This window comes from Homo sapiens, chromosome 3 (assembly GCF_000001405.40).
Source record: "Homo sapiens chromosome 3, GRCh38.p14 Primary Assembly".
Lineage (NCBI taxonomy): Eukaryota > Metazoa > Chordata > Mammalia > Primates > Hominidae > Homo > Homo sapiens.
This window is the reverse complement of record NC_000003.12, coordinates 105,872,039-105,880,889: the sequence shown is the minus strand read 5'-3', so window position 1 is coordinate 105,880,889 and position 8,851 is coordinate 105,872,039. Positions and strand designations below refer to the sequence as shown.

At 35.8% G+C, this 8,851-nt stretch overlaps 1 long non-coding RNA gene across 1 annotated transcript; it reads left to right on the top strand.

The window, feature by feature from the left end:
* The first annotated feature begins 306 nt into the window (after nt 1-306).
* On the top strand, nt 307-7,326 carry LOC105374024 (uncharacterized). The gene is made up of 3 exons (XR_007095990.1): nt 307-395; nt 2,447-2,608; nt 7,092-7,326. It is a non-coding gene; the product is annotated as an uncharacterized LOC105374024 (long non-coding RNA).

The following is an 8,851-nucleotide window of genomic DNA, read 5'->3' as shown; positions in this document are numbered from 1 at the left end:
GACTTCAAGTAAACATTTTTGTTTCCACAGTGATAAGCTTCTTTATTTAGTTAAGAATTACATATTAGAATCTGCTATGTATGAAAGGACACACATCTAAATTATATAAGCGTAAGAATATTTTCATCAAATACTGATTCAGCATGTCTCTTCAGTTATATGTTGTATATGAGTTTATTATAAAATGACTTCTCTTGAATTTCTTTCTTATTGAAGCTTAACCTTTATGACATCGCCAAAAAATGTTGAGCCATTCTTCATAAGCTTATCCATTTCAGGCATTAGCTAAATGTCATTTGGTGGCTTCTGTTACATGAATGTTGAATCAGTAAGAGAAATTATCTGAAGTGGATTTGAAGACTCTTCCTTTGATTCTAGTGAAGAGATCCTTTAAGGTAGACTTGACAAACTTTCTTGGATTTGTGTCTGCTACTATGGTAAATGGTCCTATTGATCACTAGAGTTTGTGTGTGTGTGTGTGTGTGTATGTGTGTATATATATGTGTGTGCATGTTTTAACTGATGGATTATGAGAAAGTTATAATTAATAACGTTATTTAGGCAATCAAAAAGATGGGCAAAAAAATTAACTAAGTAGTATTTTTGGATGAAATGGACTCGAGCTTAAACAAAACAATGACCTGACAGACCACATCGGTGGTAGAAAAGGCTGTCTTAGGCCGGGCGCGGTGGCTCACGCCTGTAATCCCAGCACTTTGGGAGGCTGAGGCGGGCGGATCACGAGGTCAGGAGATCGAGACCATCCCGGCTAAAACTGTGAAACCCCGTCTCTACTAAAAAAAATACAAAAAATTAGCCAAGCGTAGTGGCGGGCGCCTGTAGTCCCAGCTACTTGGGAGGCTGAGGCAGGAGAATGGCGTGACCCGGGAGGCGGAGCTTGCAGTGAGCCGAGATCCCGCCACTGCACTCCAGCCTGGGCGACAGAGCGAGACTCCGTCTCAAAAAAAAAAAAAAAAAAAAAGAAAAGGCTGTCTTAATAAATTTATTATGTGTAAAATGAACAAGTCTAAATATGCTTGGTAATGAGACAGTGTCTGCAAGAGTATTCATACATGAACATTATATTTTAAGAGAGAAATACCAGAAAGTGAAGAAATAGCAAATAATTTGAAGACCAGTTTAAAAAACTTAGACTATTTATCCTAAATAATAGAAGGTACAGGAAACTTTATGTTGTCTTGTTAATATACTGTAAAGACTTTTCTACCAAAACGCACATTGCATTTCTCTTTATGGCCCCAATTGGGAGAATTGAGGTCACTGAGACATGTCTAAGTACATAGATTTTGGCTGCTTGCAAGGAACAGCTTTCTTCCCATAAAGAGAAGTACCTAAGTGGGAACAGAATACTCTCTTTGTGTTTAAGCAAAGGTTGTTATATCACAAAGCGGGGTTGTATTTGGAATTGAAGCATTGAATCTTCCTAACCCAGAGATTTTGCTCTATCCTAAGCTATTTCCCCATCTATCAAACCAATGATTATTTAACCAGATATTGTTAGGAATTGTGATATAACCCCAATTCTATTCCCCTTCTTGACTTCCCTATGTTTTTTTAAGTAAGATATGTATGTTATATACATATCTTTGATAAAAGTATATATCTATATCTACATATATTTATAAATAAATGTTCTTTTTTACTTCTTTTCTAAATCATATTTAATGAAAATCAAAGTCGTGATCCTTTTTCTTTAAAACGTATGTCTAATATTCATTATTTTTAACTTCTTTTCATTGCTGGAGCTGCCACATTTTCCCAGATCCTAATCTGCTCAAACCCAAACCAGGTAGATAGCCTGCTAACAAGAGCCCTTGCTACCAGTATCCTCATTTCTATATTTTCTTAGATACTCTACCATACCAATAATACATCCCTTAAATAATAATTTTATTTTACCTTTTACCTCTTTCCCTTTTTAAAAATTCCTTTGACTACAGAATTGGTACAAACTCCCAATTAAAAAATTCAAAAATTCCCATAACTTAATTTTTATTATGTATTGAATTTTGTCATTCTCACTGTGACCTTTCTGGTATGGGGGCTGATACCGTTCTTTCCTAGGGACGTCGAGACTTGATTATTTGTGTTGCACTTCATCCCCCAATTTTAACTCCCATCTCTGAACTTCAATTTCCTTCACTCAATATCCTGGAAGGTCTAGCATACTTTCTCTCTGGTGTACTTCCTTACCTCTCTTGCCCAAGTTAAACATCCATTTTTGTCTTAGTTTATAGTAAGCACTGTAGTTACATATTTATGTACATATGTGTTGAATAAGCTGGTAGCACTCCATTTACAGTGTGTTTGAAGAAGCTCCAGATTTATAATATATCCCTGTTAATTTTTTTTTTACAAATAATATGGTTTAATTGTGCATATGTAATAACAATTCTACAATAACACTTACTTCCTACAACATTAGACCCTGAGAAAACATGTGGCAATTCTCTGTGAATTTGGAAAGGAAGCATTCACCTATGAAAGAAAATGCTTCCATCAGGTACTTCAAGGTTGAAGAGGCAGAGGACGAGTTATCCACAAGGAATTTGGAAGAGAAGCTTGTTTCAAAGTTGGATGAGCCATGGTAAAATCTCAAACAGTTTGTTATTTTTAGCTCTGCCAAGAAATAGCTAATTTCATGCAAGAATTATCTTGTATCTGACCCAGAGCAAAGACTCCCTGGCTATTCTTTGTATATGTTGATGCAATGGGAGGATTGTTTCATGCTTTAAAAACCAAGTAAGGAAGAACTTGAGAAAAAGAAAAGAGAGTTGTAGGGTAGGTAGGTAAACAATTTTGCTTTTCTTTTTGGCAGACTTATTTGTAACTGAAAAAGAAAAGACTGTCGAGATATTTGGTAACCAGGAAGAAATGAAGTGGCTATTTTCCCCCCAAATTTTTATAAACCTCTTTTTCTAAGTCAGGTTCCTTTAGGAAACTGACTAACTAGGTAGTTAGGTCTTTCTTTCTCTGCTGTTGACATTCAACACAAACAATTCCGTCATTTATCCTTTATGTATATATATATTTTAAAAATCAATGTTTGCAATTTTGATTGCCTTCTTCACAATATTCTTGAGACTTGTGAGAATAAGATGAAGCATTAAAAATAGGTCATTTAGAGAGCAGGCATAGGGAATGAAGAAGTGTAGGAAATCAACTGTTTCATCACCCCAGTCCCTTTCCCAAGACTGCCTTCTAAAATGCTGCCTTTTATTTTCAAATTCATTTTTCTTTATATTCAGTTCACCTTAGGTAGTAAGAAAGGCTTTGATCTATATTTTATTGGTATTACTCATATGAATACTCCTTTGTATTATATAGAGGGTATAAGCTACACATATCTCCTGACCTCACCCTGCCTCTTGTCCTTGCCTGCTGGTCATGAAATTATATTTAAAATGTACATCTGTTTATTCCTTAATACCAAAGATTAAATAGCAACATGAAGCCTCCTTCATTTTCTCTTTTTCTGTTGGAGATTGAGGTTTTCTTGTAATCAGCAAGCAAAATAAAAACAAAAACAAGACATGACAGAAAAAAAAAAACCAGTATGTAAGTAGACGAAATGACTTCCTGTTGGGGAGGTGTTTGACTGCGTGGGGGTGCACATAATCAAAATCATCAATCCTACCCAAGCATGACACTGGCATAAAACACTACCAAATGATGACATCCTGTTATTCCTGCATAAAAGGTAACTATTTGGGAAAAAATAACATATTAAGCTCATATAACTGTCAGTGTGAGAAAATTTGTCATAATTTTTCAGCAGTCAGTTGGAGGAAAGAAGACTGAGAGAGAACAGGAACTTGCCTGGAAAAAAAACATAACACAATCTGAGTACAATGTGTACAGTGTGGGTGAGCTCTGACATTAAAGAGCATAGAGTCATAGAAACTTGAAATTGGTTAAGTAAAGAAGGCCTGGTCAGATGGGCTTGGTCAGATTTGTATTTCTAAAGATAGAAAAGGTACAGTAAAAATATGGTACTATAATTTCATGGGACCACAGTCATATATGTGGTATGTCACTGACTGAAATGTTGTTCTGGGGTGCATGACTGTATATCTGTGTATTGCTCTTTTTATAGCAGAGGTCTCCTTTTTTCCATTCTCATCGGGTGACATGCCCTTTAATCTCTTCCTTTTAAAATTATCTCTCAACATATACACTCTTTAAATTTCTCATTCCAAGATTTTGCTCTCTTCTTTCCCCACATAACCTGCATTTTTGTACAGGTACTATTTAAATTCTCTTATCCACGTTTCTCATGTTTCTCTTCTCATCTCCAGTTGTTATAGCCTATGAATGTTTTGCAAAAAAAAAATTATTTTTTGAGTCAGGGTTTCACTTTATCACCCAGGCTGGAGTCCGTCCACTGGCAGCATCCTAGCTCACTGCAGCCTCGAACTCCTGTGCTCAAGGGATCCTCCAGCCTCAGTCCCCCAAGTAGGTGGGTCTACAGGTGAGCGTCATCATGCCCAGATATTTTTGTATTTTTTGTAAAGGTGAGGTCTCACTATGTTGCCCAGGCTGGTCTCAAACTCTTGGCTTCAAGGGATCCTCTTGCCTCAGCCTCTCAGAGTGCTGGGACTATAGTCATGAGCCACTCCGCTTGGCCTGCAATTTTTAAAATAAATTGGAGCTCTTTCCTGTATTGAAACTGTTGCTCACTCCATAGGAACATGGAAATCTCAACTTTTTTTTTTGTGATTATCTATTTTGTCCTTTGTTTGTCTATAATATCTTTTTCTTCTGTTATTCTCTGAATGTTGTTCCTCAGGGTTCAATTATCATCTCAGTGCTCTTTTTATCCTATGTAATCTCCTTTTATGGTTTAATAACTCTCAGGTATTACTCAATTGTCAGTGTTGCCAAACGTGATCATTTATATTCGATCATCTAATAAACATCTGCTTATTCCATAGATGTCTTAAATTTTCCATTTTCAAAATTAAGTTCATTCTTTCTTTCCCTGAAATAGATTGTTCTATAATATTCTCTATGCCAGTTGTTGAGGCTTTCACCCAGTAATTAAAACTAGCACACTGGCAGTTATTCTTGACTCCTCCATCTTTTGCACAGCTCATATTTCTGTAATTATCAAAGACCACTAAATTAACTAATCAGTGGTTCTCAGCCTCCCTTGCTAACTAGAATCACCTGGAGATCTTTAAAAATATTAGATCAATTAAAACAGAATCTCTGGGAGTAAGGCCCTAGAATTTGTTTTTCTAATGTGCAGAGAGGAATGGAAACCACTTTTCTCAGATGTCACTTATTTTTTACCTCTGCCCCATTTCAGGTCCTCATCGTCACTTAATGGGTATCTCCTATATATGGCCACTCTGCCTTCAGTCCTACCCCCTCCGATCCATTATCAACCCGGCCATTAGGGTAAACATTCTCAAATAGAAATGTTACAAAATCATCTCCCTTGCCTCTTCTGTTTCTATTATATACACTCTCCCCTGGCTTAGAATCCTTCAGTATCTTCCCTTGAAAAAAAAAATCAAATCCTAGCTCTTTAATTGGGCACATGAAGCCATATTTTAACTTATGCATCACTTGCCACTTTTTGCCTTTTGTTTACTGTTCTCTGCTTCCCACAAAATGGACTTTTTTCCTATTCTCTCTTCTTTTTTTTTTTTGAGACACAGTTTCACTCTTGTCATCCAGGCTGGAGTGCAATGGTGTGATCTCGGCTCACTGCAACCTTCACCCCCCGAGTTCAAGTGATACTCCTGCCTCAGCCTCCCGAATAGCTGGGATTACAGGTACCCACCATCACACCCAGCTAATTTTTGTATTTTTAGTAGAGACGGGGTCTTGCCATGTTGGCCAGGCTGGTCTTGAACTCCTGACCTCAGGTGATCCACCCACCTCAGTCTCCCAAAGTGCTGGGATTACAGGCGTGAGCCACCACACCTGGCCTCTTATTCTCTCTTCATACTCAGCTTTCTTTCTTTTATGGCTTTGTTCATGAGCTCTCCTCTGACTAGAATGATCCTCCTGTGATTAACTATTAATCCTATTTATCGTATATGTCTTGGTTTAGTAATTACTTTCTCCAAGCTGGGTTGAGTGCCTTTCCTCAGTTCTCATAATGACCTCTGCCTATAGAAATTACTGCTTTTACCACTTGAGTTTATAATAATCTCTTTATGTTCCTTTCTCTTTGGAAACAATGACTGGTTCATAATCATCTTTGTACATCCTGATGTCCAGCATAATGCTTGGAATATATTAGGTACTTTAAAAAAGGCACATTAAATAGATGAGTGAATAAGAAATCAGAAATTTTAGCTGATAACATAAAGATAGGTGCCTAATAAGTTTTGTCCCCTAAAACAAACAAGATAATTAAAATAGAAAAAGATCATTTCCTTTATACTGAGAATAGGAACTTGAAAACCAATAGGGAAGACTTTCTGTAGATTTGCAATATATTAGATCTCTACTGGCATTGTTAGAGTTACTTCTGTAGGTCATTTTCTTCTGATTTCTATATTTGTTTTGGATCTTAATATGCCTTCTTGAGTAGAAAAATGAACATATAACTGGTCTATGTTAATTTTATTCTGATTAGCAGTTACTTTTCATGTAATTACATGGTTTTTACACTATAACATAATCCATGAATTTAGGTTTATTACCTACACCTTTTAGGGTTCAATCACCCTGGATAAATTTGCCAATTTCCTCATCTGGCAAACTGAGTGGTGTGATCAGTACCAAGATCCCCTTCAGCCTTAAAATTTCTGAATTTATATTGTTAATTAAAAAATAAAAATAAAAATTCAGTGTTGTATTTATTTGGTATTAATCAAAATGCATGGGGACTGTAGAGACACTGTTATAACAAATTCTAACTTTACATTCTTCACAAAAATCTTGAGGGAAAAGAAAATTGTCCATTTTTTTTGAATCATGGCTTCTTAGGGAAACACAGGAAACGTGAGAGGGGCATGAAAAAAATATAGAACTGAGACAAAATAGTAGGTTTACTCCAAGTTTACAAGTAGCAATATTTAATGCTTTGGTATAAATCGTCTTTATTACAGAGAACAACTACCAAATAAATCATTGTGTGGAAAAGAATTGATTTGGGAATCAATTGTCTGGGAAAGAAAATCACAAAGAAGTGATTGTGAAGACATTCATTTGTTCTTCAGATATGTAACTGTTTAATCTGAAGTAAACTTTGGGATGGAAAACTATTAGGAACGTTTCTTGCTTAATTTTGCCATTGTACGCTCTGATATTGATTGTTCAGGATTATTGAGCACACATGCTGTAATGAGAATTGTATATAATTTACTATATATACTTACATATGATAGACATTAAAGGATATATGTGTCTAGTAATAGCAGATGCATGTTTCTGCCCACTAAAGAAATGGTTGCAGCTTTTAATAAATATGGCTAAGGGAATGATGTTAAGATTACGTGTGTGTGTGTGTGTGTGTGTGTGTGTGTGCATGCACATATTGTTCTGGATTTCAAATGAGTATACAAAATTATCATTATCTTACACCACTTGCATTGGGATCTTCAGTTTTTCCTTCAAGAAGTGAATTATTAATAATATATTTAACTTTTAGAGTATTATTGTGGTAGGACTCGCCAGTTTCTTGCTACAACATCTATTCATCCCTTTCTCTTTAGAAACAAACTAGAATTTTTATATTGCTTCCCATAATAAAAAACATATTGCCTTCCAGATTTTGCAGCTAAATTTGGCTATGGGACTAAATTCTGGCCTTGAGTTGTTTAAGAGAGATACTTGTGAGAGTTCTCTGAAGATTGGTCAAAGGAAACTAACTCAGATGGAAGATCCATTTGCCCTCCTGCCTTTCCTCTTAGCTTTTAGCCTGAAAATCAGTGGTGATGGCTGGAGAGCCAATAGCCATCTTGGAACACGACGTGATTCTGAAGGTGGGAAGCAAGGCTGGGATGGTACAGAATAAAGATAGGAACTTGGGTCCTTGAGAAAATTGTGGAGCCACCATATCTACCTGTAATTCCTACTTTCAGACCTTTTTCTATGTGTGAGAGATTTATCTTATTTAAGTCATTGTTATTTTTGTTGTTAATACTGTTGTTGTTAAGCTAGCATTCTAGTTGAGCCCAAGCTAGGACTCAGAGTCTGGTTATATCTGATGAGCCCCTGGATCAGCATCCCTCAATGCCAACTATTAAATGTAATGGGTTAATGATGAATGGAACTCTATTTCACGTAACAAAGAACAACTTGTTATGCCCAAATATTACGAGGTCATATTGCTCTTATTTCTCTCTAACCTGAGATTTGGGTCCGTGTTCTCTATGAGAAATTAGAAATTTCTGTTGTGGTATTCTGTTTTTGTGTTAGGATCGTCACTGTAAATCTACTTAATAGTAAAAATAAAATCTTGCTTGGAATTGTGAATTAAATGAATTCTCCATTGTGCAGAAACAGGAACAGCATTATATTTTGTATGTAATACTCTTAAACAGTCAATTCATTTATTCAATTAATATTTTTGAGCTATTATGGGTTACATAAGTTATGGAGGGGCTTTGTTATTTAGTCAACTCATGTCCAATATCACAGGGGTCAGTTGTGAATTTGGAAAAAATAGAAGAAAAGAAAAATTAAAGCAAATGACAAAAGTCTAAATATTTTCCTCAAATAATTGTCTTTTTTTTCCTTAATGTCTTGTGTTTACAGACTGGAATTTAAGCCGCATTTTTCTAGATGGCACCAGCCTATTGGTACATATATTAATGTCAAACAGTAATGCTCAAATTACACGGGTTCACAGCTGTTTCTACATAAT